Source organism: Homo sapiens, chromosome 6, assembly GCF_000001405.40.
Source record: "Homo sapiens chromosome 6, GRCh38.p14 Primary Assembly".
Lineage (NCBI taxonomy): Eukaryota > Metazoa > Chordata > Mammalia > Primates > Hominidae > Homo > Homo sapiens.
The window spans coordinates 57600106-57627437 of NC_000006.12; the positions used below are offsets into that span (position 1 = coordinate 57600106).

The 27332-nt window shown below is 37.5% G+C and overlaps 1 protein-coding gene across 5 annotated transcripts in view; it reads left to right on the forward strand.

The window, feature by feature from the left end:
* PRIM2 (DNA primase subunit 2) overlaps positions 1-27332 on the forward strand; it is a 425311-nt gene that overhangs the window by 378566 nt on the left and 19413 nt on the right. For 4 of the 5 annotated variants that reach the window (XM_047418987.1, NM_000947.5, XM_047418993.1 and 1 more), the window contains 2 exons: positions 988-1114; positions 6270-6352. In XM_047418987.1, coding sequence (XP_047274943.1) covers positions 988-1114; positions 6270-6352 — 210 coding nt within the window. Of the gene's footprint in view, positions 1-987; positions 1115-6269; positions 6353-23553; positions 26808-27332 lie in introns of those variants that run through there. The other variant, XM_047418988.1, reaches the window with a different exon arrangement.

Consider the following 27332-nt stretch of genomic DNA (forward strand, 5'->3'; position numbering starts at 1 on the left):
TTAAATGGGATTACACTTTTAAAAGCTCCTACAAAATGCCTGGCACCTGGTCACTTTTCATTATATGCTGGTTCCTTTTGTTCTCCTGTCTGACTCAATTCAAAGTCCCTTCTGTCTCATTAGCTTGTTTTATGAACATGGAGGCAAGGATTCTGGGTAGGAGGCAGTTGTAGTACTTCATTCATTAAGCATTTGCTGACTACTTTGTATAGTGGAAATCCAGAGGAAGGGATTATTATTATTATTATTATTATTATTATTATTATATTTTGAGACTGGGTCTCACTATGTTGCCCAGGCTGAAGTACAGTGGCACAATCATGGCTCACTGCAGCCTCAACCCCCCAGCCCAAGTGATAATTCTGCCTCAGGCTCCTGAGTAGCTGAGACGACAGGTGCATGCCACCACACCCAGCTAATATTTAATTTTTTGTAGAGATGGGTCTCACTGTGTTGCCCAGGCTGGTCTTGAACTCCTGGGCTCAAGCGATCCTCTTGTCTAAGCCTCCTGAAGTGCTGGGATTACAGGCATGAGCCACTGCACCTGGCCTAGGATTAACTATTTTAATAGGCATTTAGGAAGTAGAATGGGTAGATATGGGAATTCAGGGAGAATTAGGGGAAGGTGGATAGAAAAGAGGCTAAACTGATTTTCTTCTATAATCTTTGGAATCAAACGAAGAAGGGCAAATCCATTATTCTTCTCAGGAAAAGATTTTCTTTATCTTTAAACGTATAGGTAACATTAGCTATCTTCTACCTGATAAATTTGTTTTCTGTAAGTTTTGTACCTTTTTTTAAAAAAGAAATTATTTGTATCATAAAGGACCTAAATAATATACATGGCATGAATGTACATCTGCCCGTGAATGCTGAGTTTATTCTAGAAAATATCGCTTTGCACTCTTTGATTCTAGCTTGTGTTGCTGACCTCACTAGTATAATTATTGGCTGACTTTGTCTCTTTTTCCATTTCCTCCCAATCAGTTTGATAAAGGTTACTCTTACAACATCCGTCACAGCTTTGGAAAGGAAGGCAAGAGGACAGACTATACACCTTTCAGTTGCCTGAAGATTATTCTGTCCAATCCACCAAGCCAAGGGGATTATCATGGTAAGTGCCTCCACTGGATATGTTGGCCAAGTACAGAAATCCAAGAGCTCTGTTGGAAACACTGAAACAATGTTGTGGCTTTTTGCATTCCTGTCAGGACCTAGTTTGTATCTTATCTCAGTCGTCACTGTCAAGCTAGAGCTCCATTACTCTTAGAACAATTTGTCTTATTACTGAACTAGGTCAGGCAAGAGAAATTCATTCAGCTGCACTTCAGTTTGTGCTGGATTAGGCTTTTCAGTTCTCACTGTCTTCCTTCCCGCTGTTCTCTGTCTCCCTCATCTTCTGCAGTGTTCTGCGAGTGTCTTAGAGGGCGATGTAAGTTTTACAAAGCTTTTTGAAATTAGAATGTTCTAAGTTTGGAATAGTAGATTCATTAATTTTCCAAAGGCTAACTACTAAGGAAAAGTGTGAGGTTTTTTTCTTATCACCATCATCTGATTAACCAACAAAGATTAAGTGGGCAATTTAACATGTCGTGATATCTGCCATAACTATCAGTTTGCCTGAGTTATTTAAAAAGAAAAACAAAACATCTCATTTGTCTGGTATGTCCAAGAATGAATTAATAGTTTATATCAGTAAATTTTCTGGATTATCAAAGCTTACTACAGTATGTGTCAAAACTTATTTTTGTTTTAGAATCTTAAACACTTTTTAAAAGACTGCACACTTTTGGACTGCTAAAGATCAAATAATCATAAACAATATTTTTAGAAAGACATTCTATGTGACCAAATCATTAAAAAATGCCTATACATTCATTAGTTAATAGATGAAGAAGTGGCCAGCACTCGTCATATAGATAGACAGATAAGATAGATCTATATATAAACATAGATTTTTTTTTTTTTTTTGAGACAGAGTTTCATTCTTGTTGCCCAGGCTGGAGTGCAATGGCGCGATCTCGGCTCACTGCAGTCTCCACCTCCTGGGTTCAAGCAATTCTCCTGCCTCAGCCTCCTGTGTAGCTAGGATTACAGGCACCTGCCACCCTGCCCAGCTAATTTTTTGTATTTTTAATAGAGACGAGGTTTCGCCTAGTTGGCCAGGCTGGCGGGCCTCAGGTGATCTGCTCGCCTTGGCCTCCCAAAGTGCTAGGATTACAGGCCTGAGCCACCACACCCAGCCTGGTAATAGATATTGAGTGGTTTTTATCACTTATTTCAGAGTCCCTTGAGGTGCTTTTTTAGGAATGCAGATTCTCAGGGTGCACCCTCAGTCATATAAAATCAGACTTTATTTGCAAGTACACTGGGTGAGTTTTATGTCTTCTAAAGTTTGAAAACCATGGGTCCAGGTACTTCTGTTGAGGAAGCCTGAAGCCTTTTTTAGCCTAGCAGCCATACCAGGCAGTCAACTTATGATTAAGCTTGTGGCCAAGTAAAACTCCCAGGGATTTGTCTGCAAATTTCCAGGTTCTAGCATTTGTCTCTTAATTAGTTGGTTTTCATTAGCTTAAATGCAAAACTTTATTTCTGTTAAGTTGTATCTTGTTATCCCAGTGCTTTATGTTACTATTTTGTTTCTAAGTTCAACTCTGTCAGTCAAGAAATATTATACTTAGCACTCAATGAACTCATTATCTGTTGGAAACATTTACTTATTCTGTTTTTAAAAAGTAATAAACTTAATTTTTTAGAGTTGTTTTAGGTTCACAGCAAAATCGTGTGGGAAGTTCAGAGTTCCCATATACCTCCACGCCCCAACACACGCACAACCTCCGTTGCTGTCAGTATCCCACACCACACTGGTACATGTGTTACAATTGATGAACCTACATTGACAAATCCTTATCATCCAAAGCCCATAGTTTACAAGAGTTCATTGTGTATTTTGCATAACAGTACTTTATCAGATTTGTCTTTTGCAAATGTTTTCTCCCCATCTGTGCTTCTGTTCTTTTCTCTCTTTTTTCACCTTTTGGGATTTCATTTACACGTTATACCTTTTATAGTTGTCCCATAGTTCTTAGGTATTGTATTTTGTTTTGTTTTGTTTTCGTCTTTTTTCTCTTTGCTTTTTAGTTTCAGAAGTTTCTGTTTGTCATATCTACAAGATCCAAGGATTTTCCCCAGTCATGTCCAATCTACTGATGAACCTATTGAAGACATTCTTCATTTCTGTTACAGTGTTTTTGATCGCTAGCATTTCTTTTTTGTTCTTAGAATTTTCATGTCTCTGCTAGCTGGTTATTCCGACACATTTATTGAATAGGAGTCCTTTCTCCATTGCCTATATTTATTGACTTTGTTGAAGGTCAGATAGTTGTAAGTATGCTGTCTTATTTCTGATTCTCTATTCTGTTTCATTAGTCTATGTGTCGGTTTTTGTACCAGTACCATACTGTTTTGGTTACAATAGCCTTATAGTATAGTTTGGAGTTAGGTAGAGTGATGCCTCTGGCTTTGTTCCTTTTGCTTAGGATTGCTTTGGTCATTTAGACTCTTTTTTAGTTCCACATGAATTTTAGAATAGTTGTTTTCTTATTCTGTGAAAAATGACATTGGTAGTTTGATAGAAATAGCATTGAATCTGTACATTACTTAGGGTGGTATGGCCATTTTAATGACATTGATTCTTCCAATCCATGAGCATGGAATGTTTTCCTGTTTGTGTTGTCTCTGATTTCTTTCAGCAGCGTTTTGTAGTTCTTCTTGTAGAGATCTTTCACTTCCTTGCTTAGATGTATTCCTAAATATTTTATTTATTTATTTTTTGGTGGCTACTGTAAACAGAATTGTGTTTTTGATTTGGCTGTCAGCTTGAACATTGTTGGTATGTAGAAATGCTACTGATTTTTAAGGCTGGTTGTGGTGGATCATGCCTGTAATCCCAGCACTTTGGGAGGTCAACACAGGTAGATCACTTGAGGTCAGGAGTTCAAGAGCAGCCTGGCCAACATGGTGAAACCTCATTTCTACTAAAATTAAAAAGCAAAACAAAAATTAGCCAGGCATGGTGGCGTGCACCTGTAATTCCAGCTATTCAGGAGGCAGAGGTTGCAGTTGGCTGAGATGGCACCACTCCACCAGGTGACAGAGTGAGACTCTGTCTCAAAAAAAAGAAATGCTACTGATTTTTGTATATTAATTTTGTATCCTGAAACTTTGCTGAAGTCATTGATTAATTCCAGGAGACTTTTTGGTGCATTCTTTAGGGTTTTCTAGGTATAGAATCATATCATCAGCAAAGAAAGATAGTTTGACTTCTTTTCCTATTTGGATGGCTTTTATTTCTTTCTTTTGCCTGATTGCTCTGGGTAGGACTCCCAGTAGTATTTTGAGTAAGAGTGGTGAGAGTGGGCATCCTTGTCTTGTTCCCATTCTCAAGGGGAATGGTTTGAGCTTTGGCCCATTCAGTATGATGTTGGCTGTGGGTTTCTCTTAGATAGTTCTTATTATTTTGAGGTATATTCCTTTGGTATCTAGTTTTTTGAGGGTTTTTGTCATGAAGGAATATTGGATTTTTTTTTTTTTTTTAAATTTTGAGACAGAGTCTCACTCTGTTTCCCAGGCTGGAATGCAGTGGTGCGATCTGGGCTCACTGCAAGCTCCGCCTCCTGGGTTCATGCCGTTCTCCTGCCTCAGCCTCCTGAGTAGCTGGGACTACAGGTGCCTGCCGCCATGCCCAGCTAATTTTTTGTATTTTTAGTAGAGACAGGGTTTCACTGTGTTAGCCAGGATGATCTTGATCTCCTTACCTCGTGATCCGCCCGCCTCGGCTTTCCAAAGTGCTGGGATTACGGGCGTGAGCCACCGCGCTTGGCCAGGATATTGGATTTTATTGAAAGTTTTTTCTATTGAGATAATATGGTTTTTGTTTTTAATTCTGTTTATGTGGTGAATCACTTTTATTGATTTGCATATGTTGAGTCAGACTTGCATCCCAGAAATAAAGCCTATTTGATCATGGTGAATTAGCTTTTTGATGTGCTGCTGGATTCAGTTTGCTAGTATTTTGTTGAGGATTTTTGATTCTATGGTCATCAGAGATATTGGCCAGAAGTTTTCTTTTTTTCATTGTGTCTCGGCCGGAGTTTGGTATCAGGGTGATGCTGGCTTCATAAATTGAGTTAATGGGGGGAGTCCCCCCTCCTCAGTTTTTTGGAATAGTTTTGGTAGGATTGGTACCAATTCTTCTTTGTACATCTGGTAGAATTTGGCTGTGAATCTACCTGGTCCAGGGCTTTTTCTGGTTGATAGGTTTTTTATTCCAGATTCAATTTCAGACCTCATTATTGGTCTGTTCAGATTTTCACTTTCTTCCTGTTTCAGTCTTGGAAGGTTGTGTGTTTCCTGGAACTTAGTCATTTCCTCTAGATTTTCTAATTTGTGAAAAATGCACAATTATTAACTTACAAATCTGTCATCTGTATGACTGAAAAAAAAGACTTTTCTATATTAAATTTTTAATAAGCATTTTGACTTACCATTGCAGTTTATTAAAATATCTAAAATTTTCTAGATTTTGTCCTAAAACAGCTTTTGTATTTCAAATTCTTCTGTATTCTTATTTATGTGAATATTTCTAGTGGTCTTTCATTTTTTTCATGAAATAACATAGAGATGACACATATCCACCGTAAGTTGTTTTTCTATGAAATAGTTTATTTTTTCATCTCATTTCCATCCATGATTCTTTTACATTTTCATAGATTCTACGCTTTAGGAAATAGGCATATAATTTACATTTGAAAATGATGTTGAATTTTTTTCTTTCTCAGAGTTTGCATGTTTTTCATTTTGTTTATCTATCTTCCTTCTCTCATATGCCTTTTATATAATTTTTAGACTAGAATATAAGAAGATTGTATAAAGTTTTAAAATAAACTATTATGCGGCTATTTTGTGATTATTTGTGCTTGTTAGCAAGGAGCATAATTAAAGCTGTCTTCCTGTTGAATGGACATCTTAGCCTGAGAATGCTGCAATGTTTTATGTAACTCTTGAGCCTGGAGTGCCCTGATAACCATACAGCTAAGTAATCATTTAGATAAAAAGAGGAAAGCAGTTGCACCCATGGGCAATTACCTTTTTTTATTAATAAGCTGTTAGACAATTAAGGGGAGCTTAGATGGTCTCTCGAGTGTGGTGTTGTACTAAGTTGTGGATAAATAACCTTGTTTGTGTGCTGGCTTATTTTTTGTTGTCAGGGTGCCCATTCCGTCACAGTGATCCAGAGCTGCTGAAGCAAAAGTTGCAGTCATACAAGATCTCTCCTGGAGGGATAAGCCAGGTAGGTCATATTCTTCTCTCTGCATCTGCAGTAACGAGGCCTTAGATAGATCTCTCGGTTTTATTTAATGTTCTTGCAGTGATGCTGTGTACTACTTGTCAGGCCTCACACCAGACATCTTATCTTCAAGATGAATTAAGTTAAAACCTTGACTTATCTGGTTTAGACTCTTGGGAAATTCTAGTTCTTCTGTCTGCTAAGCTGCATTTTTATTTTTCCTAGTCATAAAGGAAGCTGGAAACCTTCCCCCACACCTCAGTTTGTTTTACTATCTCAATTGAGGACTACATCTTTAAAAATAAAATTTTTGAGCAATGCATGGAAGCTTATTAATGAAGCCGAAAATTAATGACAGCATATTTCATTTTGGGAAATTGTTTTCTGAGCAGATGATAATGTGGTACACACTGGCTGAATGTTCTGATAGGCATCAGTTATTGCTGTGTTTAATCTACACTTCTGATGGTAGATCAAATAGTTTGTCAAAATACTTTGTCTTATGGACAATGGAAATGCTCAGATTGTACAACCAAATGTTAAACAGTACATTTTTTAGTAAGTCTACCTTTAAAAAATTAATATTGTGACATAGCAAAGACTATTTTCTATAGTGTGCTTTCAAGTTGACTGGAATTTTGAAGGAATAGGGGAAGAGCTTCTGCTTCCTTAGCTTAAAAAGAACATTATATATTTTAGAGTTAGACCATCTAAATCATCATACATCTTTAAATTGTTATTTTTATTTAAAGAAAATTGTTACTCTAGACAACTTTACGGCTGCTTCTGTGTCCAAAGTTCAGATAACAAATCTTACATAGTTTTTTAGTACTTTGAGCAAAGCAGTGTTCAAGGTGCCATAGAGTATGCAAGGAAGAATCAGATATAAATCCTGCTACCACAAAACCAGTGTCTGAAAAAAAAAACATAAACCAAGTGTCATGAGAGGTACACATAGACTGTCTTGGGTCTTCTGATGAGGGAAAGACTATAACCAGCTGAAGAGGTCAAGGAACCCTTTATGGAAGAGATGCCCTTTGAATTAGGCCTTGCACAAAGGTTGGGAATTAGGGAGAGAGAATGCACAAATGAAAGACTATAGGAGTATTAAGATTTCAAGCTTAGGATAATGGTGGCACCAATACATAAATACTAATAGGTAACTTAAAGGAAGTATAGTTGGTTTCGGTTTGAGTGACTTAATTTTAGTGGTTATAAACTGCTGCTAACATATTTGATAAGGAATCTAGAAATAAAGAATTAGTGGCTTTTTTTTAAGCAATCATAAAGGATCACCTTTTTGAAAACAATACAAGTTCTTAACGTATCTATGTTAACATATTATGTCTGCATTTAAATGGTATTAATGTGGATTTAGGGCATTAGATAATTTAGGACTAGAAATCTGATGGTCTTTTCAGTTAGAATTGTAGCATAGGTAGAAAGCCATTCTCTTTTTTGGAGTCCTAGGATGTGACATGCCATGGTGCATAGGTAGGAAGTCAGTGGTAGAACCAAAAATTGAAGCCAGGCTTTCTGACTCTTAAGATTTTTTTTTTTTTCCCTGAACTCCACTCTACTTTAGAGCTTATTGTCATGAGTTTGCTGGAGGGAGAGAAGAGGTAGGGAGTCAAAAGCTGTGTTTGAAAATGTAATCTTGGCTAATCCTTCTCTTTGTCAAGCATTAAAAGGAGGTGGGATCAATGAAGACTGAACAGAAATGGGGAGAGAGAGAGAAAATACATTAAGGTAGTGAAGTATCACAAAAGTCAAGGAGAAAATTTTGAGAAGAGAATAAGTTCCACAGAGTCCCTTGTAGCAGAGATTTCTTTTCATGGAGAGAACTAAGAAAAGGTGGTTGGATATGCTGAGAGGATTATTTTACTTTGACTTGGGTGAGGTGTCAGTAAAATGGTGGAAACCAAAAGCAAGATTATACTTGCTTAAAAAATTAATGAAAGACAGTAAATAACCTTTTCAAAAAAAATGTGTCAGGCCAGGTGCAGTGGCTTGTACCTGTAATGCTAGCACTTAGTAGGGAGGCTGAGGCAGGCAGATTGCTGAGCCCAGGCATTCAAGACCAGCCTGGGAAACATGGCAAAAACCTGTCTCTACAAAAAATTAGCAGGTGTGGTGGCATGCAACTGTAGCCTCAGCTACTCAGGAGGCAGAGGTGGAAGCCCAAGAAGTTGAGGCTCCAGGAAGCCATGATCATGCCACTGCACTCCAGCATTGGCAATGGAGTGAGACCCTGTCTCAAGAAAAAAAAAAAAAAAAAGTGCCAGTAAAGGGGATGCTAGAGTGGTATTAGCTTAAGCATCATAGGATTGTTCATTTCCTGGTTTAAGACCTGAGCCTATCTGTAGAAAGAGGAGGAGAAGAAAGAACTGTCAGAGAGGGTGGGCTTGATGAAGATATAAAAGAAAGAAAATATCTCTCTAACCAAGCAGAATTAAGTTCTCTTTCCTTTATACCATGACTCGATTGTACATGCCTTTGCTCTTAACATTTGTTACACTTGATTGTAATTATTTGTTTACCTGTTCATCTTTCCCAATAGTTTGTGAGTTTCCTGAAAGGAGGACTGGATTTTTACTTAACTTTCTGTCTCATAGTAATCCAATGAGTTACACTTGTTAGGTGCTTTAAAAATGTTGGAAGAGTGAATGGGCATATTTAGGTATGAGGTGGATCCTAGAGTATGCATGGTGGTATGCAGAGAGAGGCAAATAGGAACTCAAAGACAAAAGTGAAAAAGTAACTTATTGGAGGAAGGACGATATGTACTTGAACCAAAGAATGGTGACAGAGAAAGGCATACCCCTCAGCAATGTGGGAACATAGAGGAAATAGCTAAGACACAGCAAAGGGAAGTTGATGGAGTGTATCAACTGGTCTTACTCTTCCTTGTAAATAAAGTAAGGTCATCAGCTGGAGAGTAAAGGGGTTATGAATGATATTCTGGTTATAGAAAAGGTTAGAAACTACCACCAACAAATGTGATAGGGAATCTAGAAGAAATTAGAGGCATTTTTTAGCAGTCATAAAGAATCACCTTTAAAAAAATAATCTTAATATACTAACATTATCTCAAGAAAATTAATGTTTATAGTTAATAGTAATGACCATGTTTGTATACTCTTTGCTTTTGACTCCACTGTATTTCTCCGTTTGCCCTTGATCCATAAGTATACTCCTTACTTAGCTGAAGCTGGTTAGTAATTTTCACATTACCCTTTAGACCTGCATTGTAACCTTTTATCTGAGATGAACACAGATGTATAGTGCATGCCAGCAAGCTGTAAATAATATCTTGCTTTTATTTGATGTCTTTATTGAGTGGATCTCACTAGAGTGAAGCAGCTGGTGGACTGTATTCTAAAGGGCAGAGAGTTAATGGATGAAAATTCCATGTAAAACATTTTGATAAGGTTGAATTTTGCAGGTTGGCCTAAGTGCAGATTAGATCTTGAAAACTCCAAGCGTACATTAAAATATTGAATGAGAGTTAAGAAAAACATCATTAAAATGTATGTAAGGTAGAACTCCATGTGGTTATTTTTATCTCAGAGAAAACTACTTGAAAAAGATACCTTCAACTATAGGAAATCGATGTTTTTTTAAAATTTTTGGAGACAGAGTCTTGCTCTGTCTTCCAGGCTGGAATGCAATGGCGCAATCTCGGCTCACTGCAACCTCCACCTGCCGGCTTCAAGTGATTCTCCCGCCTCAGCATCCCAAGTAGCTGGCATTACAGGCACCCTTCATCATGTCCAGCTAATTTTTGTATTTTTGTAGAGATGGGGTTTCACCATGTTGGCCAGGCCAGTCTTAAACTCCTGACCTTGGGTGGGAGGCCTGCCTCGGCCTCCCACAGTGCTGGGATTATAGGCGTGACCCACCACGCCTGGCCAAGAAATAGATATTTTAAGTAATCAAAATGTTGGTGATCAGAAAAGAGATCATTGTGACTCAGCTGGTGTTGCTGATTTTTTTTATAAAGCATACTTACAGGATCACATTTCATTTTCCTTTTTAATTAACCTTAATATGTTACAAAATCACTGAAAATTAACGAGCTTGGTATCCAGCTTAAGAAACAGCAATTAAACAACAGAATATGGCCAAAGAAAATGGGTACCCCTGCATTTATTCTCCTCTCCTCCCCGAAAAGAGAAATACACAGCAGTCAATTCACCAACACGATATAAAAATTATAAATATTTATGCCCCAACAACATAGCTTCAAAATACATGAATTAATAATAGAGAACTGAAAAGAGAACTAGACAAATCCACAGTTATATTTGGAGACTTCAGCACTCCTCTTAATAATTAACAGAAGAAGCAGGCAGAAAGTCAGGAAGGATATAGAAGCCTTGAACAATACTGTCAACCAACTTTACCTAATTAACATCTGTAGAACATGTTACCCAACAACAGGAGACATGAAATAGTAACCCAGGTAGATCATAGTCTAGGTCTTTAAAATCCATTACAAATGTAAATAATTTGAAATCCTATAAAGTAGGATTTAAAGCAGAGCAATAAAGCAAGAAAAACAAAAGATTGGAAAAGAAGAAAGAAAACCTTTTTCTATTCTCAAAGTGATTATCAATGTAAAAAATCTCAAAGAACCTAGCAAGATGCTACTGTAACTAGTAGGTCGAAGGATACTAACTCAATATACAAAAATCAATTCTATTTCTATTTCTTACAGTGAACAATTGGAAATTAAACATTTCAAAAAGTATTAGTTTGCTGCAAACATAATTGTGGCTTTTACTGCAAATACTTTTGTAGCAACCTAATACCATATACAGCAGTACCAGAAATCCAAAATATACATAAGATCTTTATATGAAAGACTGATGAAAATGAAAAACAAAGTGGAGACACATGTTTCCTGATTTCAAAACTTACTGAAAACTGTTGTAATTAAGATGGTGTGGTATTAGGGAAATGATGAAGACAGATTAATTGGACAGAATAGAGTTCAGAAATAGACCCACATATATATGGGCAACGGATTTTTAAACAAAGGTGCCAGGGCAATTTAATAAGGAAATGGTAATGTGGAGTTCCAGAACAAGTCCAGAGTTCTAGAACAAGTAGATCTAGAACAATTGGATATCTAAATGCAAAAATCCTAGACATATACCTCCAAGCTTATATAAAAATTATTTAAAAATGGATTATAGAACTAAGTAACTGTAAAATGTGAAACTTACAAAAGAAAACAGCATATCTGCAGGACCTTGGGTTTGGTGTGTTCCCTGAAAGAAAATAGTGATAAATTAGACTTTACCAAAATTAAAAATTTTGCTCTGCAAAAGACAGCTTTAAGAGAACAAGATAAGCCACAGACTGGAAGAAAATATTTGCAAATCATAAATTTCATAAAAGATGTGAATCCAAAAGATATAAAGAACTCTCAAAACTCAGTAACTAGAAAACAGTTTTTTAAACAGGCAAAACATTTGAGTAGACAGTTCACCAAAGAAAAAGTGTGAATGGTAAATATAAGCACATGAAAAAATATAGCTCATTAGTGAAATGAAATTTAAAACTACAATGAATACCATGATATGCCAAATAGAATTGGTCTAATTTAAAAAAATCTAGCAATACTAAGTGCTAGTGAGGATGCAGAGTGACTGAAAGTCTCATACAATAGTGGAGGAAATGCAAGTCATAGAGTCACTTTGAAAAGGAGTGTGGCAATTTCTTATAAAGTGAAGCTTACACATGCTATGTGACACAGTGATACCTGTAACTAATATTTATAGAATTGAAATAAAAGCATAAGTCCACATAAAAATCTGTTCCTAAGTGTTTATAGTGTAGGCATTATTGATAATTGCCAAAAACTAGAAACAACCCAGATGTTCTTCAGTGTGTGATTGGATAAACAAATTGTGGTATAGTCATACAATGGAATATTACCTGTCAATAGAAAGGAATAAATTACTGGTATACCCATTAACATGTAAGGTTCTCAAATACATTATACCAAGTGAAAGAAGTCAGACTCAAAAGCACTATAGTGTATAATTCTATTTGTATGACAAATCTGTAGGTACAGAGTGATTGCTGGGAGCAGGAGAGGTGTTATAAAGGACAAGGGAAATATTTTTGGGTAATGGGAATGATCTGTGTTGATTGCAGGGTAATATCAAAACTGAATTTGTCAAATGTTGCAGAACTATGATAAAAGGAAATATATTTTATTTAAAAACTTTTACTTTTTTAGAAAAAACTTAGTCCCTGAGTAAAAAGGGGATATATTTTACTGTGTGGAAATTATACCTTAATTTTTTTCTTTTTTTTCTTTTCGCCTTTTTTTTTTTTTTTTAAATAGACAGGGTCTTGCTCTGTCACGCAGGCTGGAGTGCAGTAGTGTGATCATATCTTATTGCAACCTCGAACTCCTGGGTCTAAGTGATCCTCTTGCCTCAGTCTCCTAAGTAGCTGAGGTTACAGCTGCACATCACCATGCCCAGCTAATTTTTTACTTTTTTGTAGAGATAGAGGTCTTGCTGTGTTGCCTAGGCTGGTCTTGAACTCATGGCTCAAGCAGTCCTGTCACCTTGGCCTCCCAAAGTGCTGGGATTATAGACATGAACCACTTAATTTCTTTTTTTTAATGGGGGGAGAAAGAAAGGGTAGATGGTAAGTAGCATAATGAGCCAAAATATTTACTTTTCATAGTAAAAATGCAGTGGATTAAGTTTATATCAGGAACTTAAAGTATAAACATATAATTTAGAGTGACATAGACAACATCCTATGTAATAAAAAATGGAAATGGTTAAAGTAATTGCCTCTTGGGAACTAACCAAGCAGTGGGAAGAAATGTGATATGAGAACTGTTGATTTTAATAATAAGCCATAATGTACTTCAGTTTTTTTCCTTGGATACATTACTTTGATTAAAAGTTAGAAAGAAAGTATAATGTTATTAATGAAGTTTAAGTTAAATGGTCATGTGCCTAATGGATAGATGGTAATAGCAGTAGTACTAGATGACTGCAAGGTCTTTGGGTATGAAATTCTAACCCTTATCCCTCTGAGCTCCAAGTACCTAGCATAGTATCTGATCCATGTTAGGAACTGTGAAGGATCTGAGATTTTACCCTACTTGCAAGCTAAGAACTTAGCTGCCACACTTTTATGGGATCTGGTGGAAGACATGACAATTCCAGCAATAGCAGTATGTCAGCCTTTTCTGGCATTCGTTCCTTGAGCCCTACTTCCCACAGAGCAACATGAAGGCCAGGTACTACCTGCACATGCAGTGGCTTGTGTTGGAGGAGGGAAACCCTGAATTTAGGGAATCTGAACATTTTATTATGGACAGTAAGTATGTCTACTCTTTTTTTTTATTTATTTTTAATTAACTAATTAATTTTTTGAGACAGAGTTTCGCTCTTGTCACCCAGGCTGGAGTGCAATGGTGCGATCTCTGCTCACTGCAACCTCTGCCTCCTGGGTTCAAGCAATTCTCCTGCCATATGTCTGCTCTTTAATCCAGTGGAAGGAACCATTGTCTTCCAGGGCTGTTCATTATATCAGAGGTCCCCAACCCCTGGGCCACGGACTGGTACTTGTCCATGGCCTGTTAGGAACAGCAGGAGGTGAGCCAGGGCAAGCAAGCATTACTGCCTGAGCCCCACCTCCTGTCAGATCAGTGGCCATGTTAGATTCTCATAGGAGCTCAAACCTTATTGTGAACTGTGCATGCGAGGGATCTAGGTTGTGCGCTCCTTATGAGAATCGAACTAATAATGTCTGATGATCTGAGGTGAAACAGTTTCATCCTGAAACCACCTCTCCACCCTGGCCCGTGGAAAAATTGTCTTCTACGAAACTGGTCCCTGGTTCCAAAAAGGTTGGAGACCATTGTGTTACATGAACATCTTTGAAAAAATGGTCTGAAGTAAAAGCCGTTGTTGCCTCTATTTGCAAAATGTTCAGAAATTTAAGACTATTGGAAAATTATTTCTCAGGAATACATAGCTGATGACCAGTGAATAATATATAGATATACAATCTATATTGGTCATTTCTTATTGGCACCTCAGCTTTTTCTCCTTAAAATATTGGTGTACGTTGGCTGGGTGTGGTGGCTCACACCTATAATCCCAGCACTTTGGGAGGCCGAAGCGGGCAGATCACAAGGTCAGGATATCGAGACCATCCTGGCTAACACGATGAAACCGCGTCTCTACTAATAATACAAAAAATTAGCCGGGCGTGCTAGCGGGCGCCTGTAGTCCCAGCTACTTGGGAGGCTGAGGCAGGAGAATGGTGTGAACCTGGGAGGTGGAGCTTGCAGTGAGCAGAGATCATGCCACTGCACTCCAGCCTGGGCAACAGAGCGAGACTCTGTCTCAAATATATATATATATGTATGTGTGTGTGTGTGTACATTTTAATCTCAATACTTTCATTAATTTCTTTTCAAAATTGGCAGTGAGTTAAAAAATCCTTTCAATGTTTTGTTAGTTTGGGTATTGTATCTATCTATCAATAGTTTCTGCCTAAGTTAGATGTCTGAAGTTTCTAATTATTCTAAAAACACTTTTGTTTTTTAGCTTTTATTTTCCACTTCAGCTTTTCCTTTAAAAACCTGCAATTTTGTGATAGAAATATTTATATTTTGAGATACAGAAATTTTAGAGCTGGGTGCGGTGGCTCATGCCTGAATCCCAGCACTTTGGGAAGCCAAGACCTATGGGTTGCTTGAGCCCAGGAGTTCGAGACCAGCCTGGGTAACTTGGCAAAACCCAGTCTCTACAAAAAAATACAAAAATTAGCCAGGCGTCGAGGCATGCACCTGTAGTGTCAGCTATGCAGGAGGCTGAGGTGGGAGGATTGCTGGATTGCTTGAGCCCATGGGGACTGAGTGAGCCATGATCATGCCACTGCACTCCAGCCTGGGCCACAGAGTGAGATTCTGTCTCAAAAAAAAAAAAAAAAAAAATTGAGAATATGTGTTCAGAATATTGACAGTAAAATCTCTCATTGGCTTTAAATGGTTTGTTTCTCAGAAGAAGTTTTTTCTATTGTGGAAAGATGCATATGAAATTTTCAAATTGTACTTTGTTTCATGGACTTATAATGGTGTGCTATGTCCTATTTTAATAGAAAAATTGGGGCTGGCCACAGTGGCTCACGCCTGTAATCCCAGCACTTTGGAAGGCCGAGGTGAGAGGATTGCTTGAAGCCAGGAGTTGGAGACCACCCTGGGCAACATAGGTAGACCCTGCCTTTAAAAAAGTAATAAAAATAACAGTTGTGGTGATGCACACCTGTAGTTCTAGCTGTTTGGGAGGCTGAAGCAGGAAGCTCGCTTGAGCCTAGTAATTGTTACAGTGAGCTATAATTGTGCCACTGTACTCCATCCTGGAAGATACAGCAAGACTCCATCTCTCCAAAAATTAACAAACAATAAATACATAAAGTTTATAGGAAAATTGTCTTTTTGTTATACTGAATCACTTGTGGCATATCTTTAATTCTCACAGAGCTTAATAAATAAACAATAATTGCTGCCTACAGACTAATCTAAAAGTTGTAGTTCATTGTAATATATGCCACAATGAAGTTAACATCTTTTATTGTAATCTCTGAATGCTATTACTCCTTAATAGTTTTTCTTTCTTATTATGTAGTAATGAGGGGTGTGCTTGATCTGTCTCTGGAAATAGAACAATTTGAAGCCATGGTGGTTTGTTTTATTTTTGGCCTGCTTATGCAAAGCATTGTGATGGAGGCTTTACACAAATAAACTGTATCTCATTTGATTCCCACCACTACATTATCCCTATTTTACAGATGAGAAAGCTGAGGTTTGGAGAAGGCAAGAAACTGCTCAGAACCATAGAACTAATATATGATAAGGCCAGAATTCACACCTATGCCTGACAGTGAAGCTGAAGTTTCTTACAATACATTGTTCTGATTCTCTGTAGTATTTTTCTATTTTAAATCCAGTTGAAATTCTTTTTGGTTTCTTCTTTCATGGAAAGCCATCACTGTGAAGTGAATGGTAATTCTTATGTACCTAAACTTAAGAAAATGTATAATGCATTGTTGAAACACTGACAAATGTGAAATAAAGATGAGAATAATTCAGAAAATGTAAATTATATATGGTAACAGATTTTCAAAAGATCTGATTGCTTTTTTTATTGAGGTGAAAGTCACATAACATACAAATAACTATTTTAAAATGTACAATTCAGTGCATTTAGTACATTCACAATATTTTACAACTACTATTTCTATCAAGTTCCAAACCTTTTCATCACCCCCAAAGAAAACCTTACACCTATTAAACAATCACCTCCTGCCGCCCCTAGAAACCAATAATCTGCTTTCTATCTCTATGGATTTACCTATTCTGAATATTTCATAAAATAGCATCATATACTGTCTGGCTTACTTCATATAGCATGTTTACAAGGTTCATTTGTGTTTTGTTCTTTTGAATGGCTGAATGATACTCCATTGTATGTCTGTACCACATTTTGTTTATCCATTCGTCCTTTGATGGACACTGGGTTGTTTCCACCAACTGGGTGACTTTAAAAATTTATCTCACAGTTTTGGAAGCCAGCAGTCAAGGTGTTGGCAGGTTAATTCCTTCTGAGAGCTGTGAGGGAGAATCTGTTCCCACGTTTTTCCCAGCTTCTGGTGGTTTGTTAGCAATCTTTGACTTGTAGATGCATCACTCCAAACTCTATCTTTATTTTCACATGGCTTCCTCCCTGTATGTCTTCTCACCATCTTTGCTCTGTGCATTCTTTGTCTAGTTTCCTCTTTTTAGGAGGACACCAGTAATATTGGATTAGGGCTTACCTTAATGACCTCATTTTGATTACCTCTGTAAATAACCTATTTCCAAATAAGATCACATTTTTAGGTAGTGGGAGTTAGGACTTCAACATATCTTTATTTGAGGGACACAATTCATTTCATAACACCATCCTTTTAAGTATGCAGTGATATCTCATTGTGGTTTTGATTTGCATTTTTCTAATGAATAATGACGTTGAGCATCTTTTTATATGCTTTTTGGCCATTTGTACATCTTCTTTGAAGAAATGTCTATCCAATTCCTTTGTCTATTTTTGAATTGGGTTGTCTTTTTGTTGAGTTTAAGAGTTCTTAATATATTTTGGATACAAGACTCTTATCAGATAGATATATGATTTGCAAATATGTTCTCCTATTCTGTAGGTTTTCTTGTCAACAACTTCTTAATGTCTATTGGTGGACAAAAGATTTTAATTTTGATGAAGTTTGTTTTCTTTTGTTACTTGTGCTTTTAGTGTCATAATTATCTATAGTCAAATTCAAGGTTGTGAATATTGACATCTATGGCTTTGTATAAAAGTATTATAGCTCTAGCTTTTATATTTAGGTCATTGATCCCTTTTGAGTTAATTTTTGTAGATGGTATGATGTAGGGGTTTATCTTCATTCTTTTGCTTGTGAATATCCAGTTTTCTAACACTATTTCTTGAAGAGACAGTTTCCCCATTGATGGTCTTGCACCCTTGTCAAAACTCATTTGGACATAGATGTATGGGATAATTTCTGGAATCTCAATTTCTACTGTACTGGTCTATATGTCTGTCCTTATGCCAGCCAGTACCACACTGTTTTGATTTCTGTACCTTGTACTGAGCTTTGAAATCAGGAAGCATGGAATCTTCCAATTTTGTTCTTTTTCAATATTATTTTGGCTATCTGGAGCTCCTTGCAATTCCATATGAATTTGAGGATCAACTTTTTTATTTCTGCAAAAACAGCCATTAGAACTTTGATACGGATTGCATTGAATCTGTAGATTGTGTATAAAGAGGGATCATGGCAGATGGGAGGCAGGACTAGATTGCAGCTCCTGACAGAGCAGCATGTGGAGGCTTAAATTGTGAATTTTAGCTCCAGATTGACTGCAAGAACAAACCAGCAATCCTGAGAGGACCCTCAGACTCTCTGAAGGAAGCGGACTGCTCCTGCAGGACCCGGGAGACACCCCAAATACTCTGGGAGGTGAAAGCCTTGGGCAGTTTTCAAGCCTGCCTTCCACCTGGAAACAGATCTGGGTCTGTTGTGGGGGGCATGGTGGGAGTGAGACCAGCCCTTCAGTTTGCATGGGAGCTGGGTGAGGCCTGTGACTGCTGGCTTTCCCCCACTTCTTTGACAACCTGCATGACTCAGCAGAGGCAGCCATAATCCTCCTAGGTGCACAACTCCAGTGACCTGGGAATCTCACCCCGTCCCCCACAGCAGCCACAGCAAGACCCACCCAAGGAGAGTCTTTGCTCAGACACGCATAGCCCCACCCCCACCTGACAGTCCTTCCCTACCCACCCAGGTAGCAGAAGACAAAGGACATATAATCTTGGGAATTCTAGGGCCCCACCCACTGCCGATCCCTCTGCACTGCTACTGCTGATGCTCTCTGGAAAGTGCCACCTCTTGGCAGGAGGCCAACCAGCACAAAAATGGAGCATTAAATCACCAAAACTAAGAACCCTCATGGAGTTCATTGCACCTTCTGCCGCCTCCAATGGAACAGGCGCTGGTATCCGTGGTTGAGAGACCCATAGACGGTTCACATCACAGGACTGTGCAGAAACCCCCAGTACTACCATGGTGCCAGGTAGACTCACTGGATGGTTAAACCCAGAAGAGAGACAACAATTATTGCAGTTCGGCTCACAGAAAGCCACAACCACAGGAAAAGGGGAGAGTACTACATCAAGGGAACACCCTGTGCACTAGAATCTGAACAACAGCATTCAGCCCTAGACCTTCCCTCTGACAGAGCCTACCCAAACGTGATGGAACCAGAAAACCACCCCTGGTAATATGACCAAACAAGGCTCATCAACACCCCCTAAAAATCATACTAGTTCACCAGCAATCGATCCAAACCAAGAAGAAATCCCTGATATAACTGAAAAGGAATTCAGTAGGTTAGTTATTAAGCTAATCAGGGAGAACCAGGGAAAGGCAAAGCCCAATGCAAGGAAATTCAGAAAGTGACACAGGAAGTGAAGAGAGAAAGATTCAATGAAATAGATAGCTAAAAGAAAAAACAATACAAAATTCAGGAAACTTTGGATACACTTTTAGAAATGCAAAATGCTCTGGAAAGTCTCAGCAATAGAATTGAACAAGTAGAAGAAAGAAATTCAGAGCTTGAAGACAAGGTGTTCGAATTAACCCAATCCAACAAAGACAAAGAAAAAAGAATAAGAAAATATGAACAAAGCCTCTAAGAAGTTTGGGATTATGTTAAACTACCAAACCTAAGAGTAATCGGTATTCCTGAGGAAGAAGACAATTCTAAAAGCTTAGAAAACATATTTGGGGGAATAATGGAGGAAAACTTCCCCAGCCTTGCTAGAGACCTAGACATGCAAATATAAGAAGCACAGGGCCAGGTGCGGTGGCTCACACCTGTAATCCCAGCACTTTGGGAGGCTGAGGCAGATGGATCATGAGGTCAGGAGATCGAGACCGTCCTGGCTAACACAGTGAAACCCCATCTCTACTAAAAATGCAAAAAGTTAGCTGGGCGTGGTGACACACAACTGTAGTCCCAGCTACTTGGGAGGCTGAGGCAGGAGAATCGCTTGAACCTGGGAGGCTGAGGTTACAGTGAGCCAAGATCATGCCACTGCACTCCAACTTGGGTGACAGAGTGAGACTCCATCTCAAAAAAAAGACAAAGAACACCCAAGAAATTCATTACAAAAAGATCTTCGCCTAGGCACATTGTCATCAGGTTATCCAAAGTTAAGATGAAGGAACAAATCTTAAGAGCTGTGAGACAGAAGCACCAGGTAACCTATAAAGGAAAACCTAACAGATTAACAACAGATTTCTCAGCAGAAACCCTATAAGCTAGAAGGGATTAGGGCCCTATCTACAGCCTCCTCAAACAAAACAAACATCAGCCAAGAATTTTGTATCCAGTGAAACTAAGCACCACATATGAAGGAAAGATAACAGTCGTTTTCAGACAAACAAATGCTGAGAGAATTCGCCATTACTAAGCCACTACTAGAAGAACTGCTAAAAGGAGCTCTAAATCTTGAAACAAATCCAGGAAACTCATCAAAACAGAATATCTTTAAAGCATAAATCTCACAGGACCTGTAAAATAAAAACACAAGTTAAAAAACAAAAACAAAAAACCAAAGTATGCAGGCAACCAAGAGCATGATGAATGCAAAGGTACCTCACATTTCAATACTAACATTGAATGTAAATGGCCTAAATGCTCCACTTAAAAGGTACAGAACTGCAGAATGCATGAGAACTCATCAACCAACAATCTGCTGCCTTCAGGAGACTAACCTAACACATAAGGACTCACATAAACTTAAAGTAAAGATGTGGAAAAAGGCATTTCATGTAAATGGACACTGAAAGCAAGCAGGGGTAGCTGTTCTTATATCAGATGAAACAAACTTTAAAGCAACAGCATTACAGGCAGGAGCTGCCATGCCAGGCATTTTGCTCATTGCTTTTAATGATGTCATGTCTTTTTTGTCCCTCAGTTTCTCCATTAGTACCTTCTTTTGCATTAAATTTTTTTTGGTAGTGTACTTAGTCTGTTTTGTGCTGCTATAACAGGATACCACAGACCAGCTAATTTATAAGTGAAAGAAATTTATTTCTCACAGTTATAGAGGCTGAGAAGTCCAAGGTTGAGGAGCCTATTTCTGATCTGATGAAGACTTTCTTGTTCAGTCTTCACATTGCAGAAGGACAAGAGAACAAGCTAGCCAAATGCCACCTGAAGCTGCTGCTGCTTTTTTTCTTTATAAGGGCCTTAGTTCTATTAATGAGGAATGAGCCCTCATGGCCTCATGATGTCTTAAAGGTTCCGCCTCTTAATACTAGCAGATTTGCAGCACCTGAACTTTGGAGGGGACACATTCAGACCACAGTACCATAGTACCATTTTTATTCCCATCACTTTTTTTTTTGATGTATTTTTTTCTCATTATTTGCTTAGTGGTTATCCTGGGGACTGTAACCTTTTATATGTATAACAGTTTTTAATATCAACTTAGCATCTATTATATACAAAAACTCCACTTCTGTATAGCTCTGTCCCTCCCCCTCATATTGTTGTCACAAATTACATCTTTATACATTATGTGCCCATTAACTTACAATTACTGTTTTATGCATCTGTCTTTTAAATCATTTGAGAAAAAAGAAGAGTTACAAATCAAAAACACAATAATACTGGATTTTTAATACCTATATAGTTACCTTAGCTCGTGTTCATTCTTTTTGAATGGCTCTGAGTTACTTTGTAGTGATCTTTTCTTTCTACCTGAAGGATTTACTCTAGCATTTCTTGTTGGGCAGGTCTACTAACAACAGACTCCCTCAGCATTTGTTTATCTGGGAATGTCTTACTTTTTCCTTATGAATCTTGGTTGACAGTTTTTTTTTTCTTTCTTTCTTTTTTGAGATGGAGTCTCACTCTGTCGCCCAGGCTGGAGCGCAGTGGCATGACCTCGGCTCACTGCAACCTCTGCCTCCTGGGTTCAAGCAATTTTCCTGCCTAAGCCTCCCAAGTAGCTGGGATTACAGCCAGTTTGTGTTAGCTCCAGTATACCACTGGCTGTAGTAAAATGTACACCAAGTTTCACAGAGTAATAATGGTATCGAAAAAAAGCATTACAAAATATCTCAGTAATATTTTTACATTGATTACATTTTGAAATGACAATATTTTAGATATATTTCTTTGAATAAAATATATTACTGAAAGTAATTGCTTATTTTTACTGTTTTAATTGTGGTTATAGAAAATCTAAAATTACAGATATGTCATATTTCTGTTGAGAGCACTGCTTTAAGTATCGAGCACTTGAGAATGTTGAGTATTCGAGTGATTAGGTTCTGTTTCTACAGTGTATTTTAATGTTTGCTTCTGCTGTAAAATTGTGTTAGACCTATTACAACCAATACTTACTTTTACATGTTGGCCCATAAGTAAGTATACATAAGGCTATTCATTTTTCAAGATTTTGATTGAAATGATACATTATTTACAAATGTATTTCTGCACTAATGTTTTTAAAACTCTTTTTATTTCTCATTTTAGTTTTTTTAATAGAGGAAGGAAATGTGTTTTAGAATTTTCACTCAACTATTAATGATTTTTTAAACAAATCTAATTGGTGCTTCTAAGAAACTTAAGAGTGAATTAAAACCATGAAATATGAAAAAATGTATGCTCTTATTGCTTCTTGAGAGGTTGGTTAACCTCTGTTTTTCACAGTCAAAAATTCTCAAGAAGTTAGTGACTATATTAAATCCAAAACTGGCAAATGCCTTTTAATGAAGAAATCTTTCAAAAGGGACAGTTTAAAAGACTTAAAAGTAACTGTCAAGAAGATTTTATGACAAAGATAAATTTCAATGACTGTTTACTTAATGTTCCTAAAAATCTGAGCTACCTAAAAACTATGATTTTCTTAGGTAAGGGGGACTTACCAGTGGATGATAGTATTCTGTCTGTCTATTACTTTGTGGAAAGTAACTGCTTTTAAGGGCAGCTTTTGTATCTATTTCATCTTCAGGAGTATCTCTTCTGATTTTTGAGAACAGTAGTTTGGTTGCTGCACTTAGCTTTGCTTTTCTTAGTGTTGTAGTTGAAAATGTGTAACGTTCTTGGTAAAACTCAGAACTGCATTAAGGAAAAGATGGGAAGTTGAGCATTAGAATTGGTGTCACCAGGCCATGGTTGTACTTTTGGCTTTAACACTTGATTTCTGTGTATATCCTTCCTTTCTTATAGGCTGAAGATAAATGGTTGCTTGAAGATTTAATGTTCAAGGTGGTTCAAAGAAAAATCACTTTGAAAGTCAAGTAACATATGTTATTGTTAGCTAAGCCTATTAATTAAAACTTATATTCATTAAAATTGCATTCAAATGGAAAACATCCTTTCTTAAAATTTAATACTCTGTTTATATAGTTACACATCTTTCTATATTTATTATGTATTCATTACATGAAAAATCACTGATACCTATGGAAGAATTTTATTCAGTCACATATGATACTGTCACTTGGGATATTTTTGTAAAGTCAAACCTAACTGCCTATAGTCATAAAACTATTCTAACTTAGTTCTATTTCTTGATCAGTTTTATAGAGTACACTCCCAGAGGCACCGGCTTCTTTTGAAGAAGTAAGCTTAAGGTACCCAGAAAGTTAAGTAAATTTATTTCATAAAGCAAGTAGTTTAGATTTTTAGACTGGGTAGCTTTGAGTCATTTCATTCTTCTTGGTGGTGTTTACCATCAATTTGCAATGTATTTCTTGTTAAAGTTTCTATCTCTGAATTTATATGATTATTTTTACTTCTTAATTCTTAAGTGACAGATTTTAACATTAGCTTCTGTTTTCAATAGCATATCCAGGAGATATGATACATCTTTTAATAAACAATCTAAAGTAATTATTAAATCAGTACATGATACATCTTTTAATAAGTATAATCTTCTAAAGTAATTATATAATCAGTATAAATATCTTTCATTATTTTCATAAAGATCATAGAGCATAGTGATTCTGAAGTGGCTTGGTTTTATATTAGGCCAAAAAATAGAATACTCAAAGCACAGTAATAATTAGTAACTGAACCATGGAACTGAGGTTTGACAACATGTTTCTCCGTATCTCTAAGCAGGCTTTACATGTGTCTTCTTGTTTGTCCTCCCTTCCCCCTCATTATCTTTCCTCTCTTCTTCCTTCTCTTTCCTTCCCTCCTTGCTTTCTAAGTTTACTTAGTTGTTAATGTTCCCTAAGAGCTTAAATCCTTTAATCCAAAATGTTGGTATTAATGTGCACTAAGAAAATCAGTATTTTGGGTAGCAGGTTAAATTGCTTCTCAACAATCCTTTTATTGGTACCTAACTACAATAGAGTATGATAAGTGCTTTAATAATTAACTATTATAAAGTATGCTAAATGCTTTTATAAAAATATATTCAGAGTGCCAGAGGGGAAAGATCTTCTGTTGAAGAGGGAGCAGAAGAGAATGCTTCATATAAGAAGTGACATTTTAATTGGGTTTGAAAGTTGAGTAGGAGTTTCCCCTGTGCCTAATGTAAGGCAGATTAGGCAAAAGGAGCAGCATTCATTCAACATCAACAGATAATAATTGAGTGAGGATTGTATTCCATTTACTGTTCAAGACATTGGGAATATAATGATGACTAAAACTAGTGAGACTTCTACCTTCATGGAGCTGATATTCCAGTGGGGAGACAGACTGTATTACTCTGTTTTCATGCTGCTGATAAAGACATGCCCAAGACTTGGCACTTTATAAAGAAAAAAAGGTTTAATGGACTCACAGTTCCATGTGGCATAGGAGGCCTCACAATCATGGTGGAAGGTGAGAGGCACGTCTTACATAGCAGCAGACAAGAGAGACAATGAGATCCAAGTGAAAGGGGTTTCCCCTACAAAACCATCATCAGATCTCGTGAGACTTACTCACTACCATGCGAACAGTATGGGGGAAACCGCCCACATGATTCAATTATCTCCCACCAGGTCCCTCCCATGACACGTGGGAATTATGGGAGCTACAGTTCAAGATGAGATTTGGGTGAGGATAGAGCCAAACCATATATCGCAGATAAACAAGTAAGTGTAGTGAAATAAAACTATGGCAGGATAAGAGAGAAGAATGAGACTTGTGGAGGTGACTCTATTAATTTAAATAAGGTTGTTTGGTGTGTTTTGAGGAACCCTAGTCCTGAGAGATCTATGAAAAATGGATTCTGGGGACAAATTAGTTTGAGAAACGTTACCCTATTAAGTTCTGCTACAAAGAAACTTAGGTAATTGTGGATTAAAGCCAGTTAAACAAGTTATTAGACAAGAAAACCCCCGATCATCACTAGGATTTTGTGAGCTAAAGTTCCAAAGATCACATTGCAGGAGAAGCTGGACCAGAATATGAGGATCCAGTGGCCAGGTAGGACAGGGTAGGAGCCTTTGAATCATGATGAAAAGTTTGTGCCCCAGCCATGCCAGGATTAGATTTGGCTTTTAGAAAAGGTACTCTTGTGGCAATGTGGCAGCTATCTTGAGTGAAGAAAGTATAAATCAAGAAGCTTTCCAATAAAAAAGAGAATGATGAAGGCTTCAAAAATGGAGAGAAAAGGGTAGATTTTAATGACATTTGGAAGTAGAATTGACTCAGATAACTTTGTTTATAGATAATAAAGAGTCAGAAAAATTCTTGACATATAATGTTTTAAAGAAATGAAAGTACATCTTCAATAGAGGGAAACTTGGCCCTGATCTGCCAGTCAGTGAAGGTCACAGCAAGGCAGCAGCAGGCTAAGCTGTGCTGAGTGTATGAGAAATGGGAGCAAAGTCGTATGTTCAAAAATTTGCAAGACTTGGCATCTCCACCACATTTTTCTTTCACCTTTGAAATATGGGAAGGTTAGAAATGGAGTGGAAAAATATCAGCCCAGTCTAGTTTTGAAAGATTGAGTTTTTTAGGAAGAAGCAAGCTTGTTATCACTTTTAAATAAGACAAAACATGACCTTGAATTAGATTAGCCACATATCTAATTGGTGAGTACAGCATACCTAGCTGTACAGTGCTCTGCTCACCAAAGCCAAAGATGGGCAGGTGGCTGCATTCTGCTGCCAGGTAATCATCTGAACCTCGTTGGCAGGCATTGAAGCAAAAGAGAGAGAGGAATTTGCAGCTGGCTGGAAATATTAAGAGTATTAGCAAGAGGGAGGAAGTGTGGCTCAAAGTTATAAAATGTTGTGTGTGTATAAAAAGAAGAGAGTTCTATTTTTGTATATGTATGTGTTATAAATAGACATACCTATAGCATTTCCCACCAGTGTTCTGTATCATCTATGTTCCATCACTGATTAAATTAGAAAAATATCACCTTATTTGCTTTTTGCTCCTCAACTGCAAAGATGTCTTTGGTGAGGTGCTTTACTAGAATTCTCTTACAGAAAAAAAAAATCAGTAATTCATCTTGAGGATGAAATAGTAGATGAAGTATAATTAATGCTTTCAGCAAATACAAATATGAACTTTTTGTGAAGATGAAAACTGCATTGCTTTTTTTTTTTTTTTTTAAAGACAGGGTCTCATTCTGTCACCCAGGCTGGAGTGCAGTGGCATGGTCAGGACTCACTGCAGCCTCGACCTCCCCGACTCAAGCGAACCTCCCGCCTCAGCCCCCCAAGTAGCTGGGACTACAGGCATGTGCCACCATGCCTGGTTAATTTTTTGTATTTTTATTAGAGACAGGGTTTCTCTGTGTTGCCTAGGCTGGTCTTGAACTCCTGGACTTAAGCAATCCACCTGCCCTGGCCTCCCAAAGTGCTGGGATTACAGGTGTGAGCCACCACACCCAGCCTGTTTTTAAAAACTGTAATATTCTTACTGGTGGACTTTATTCAACTGATAGAGAATAGTTAAAAATAAAGAGAGGCCAGGCATGGTGGCTCACACCTCTAATCCTAGCACTTTTGGAGACCGAGGCTGGTGGGTTGCTTGAGGCCAGGAGTTTAAGAACAGTCTGGCCAACATGGCAAAACCCCATCTCTATTAAAAATTCAAAAATTAGCTGGGTGTTATGGTGCGCATCTGTAATCCTGGCTGCTTGAGAGCTGAGGCAGGAGAATCACTTGAACCCGGGAGGTGGAGGTTGTAGTGAGCCGAGATTGCGCCGCTGCCCTCCAGCCTGGGTGACAGAGTGAGACTCTGTCTCAAAAAAAAAAAAAAAAAAAAAAAAAAAAAGTTTAAAAATATATAGAGTTTAAAAATACGAATTACCAAAATATTGTAGTTTGATGTCATTGCTACTCACTTTTTCTTTCTTTGTTTTGTTTTTTTCTGAGATGGAGTCTTGCTCTGTCACCCAGGCTG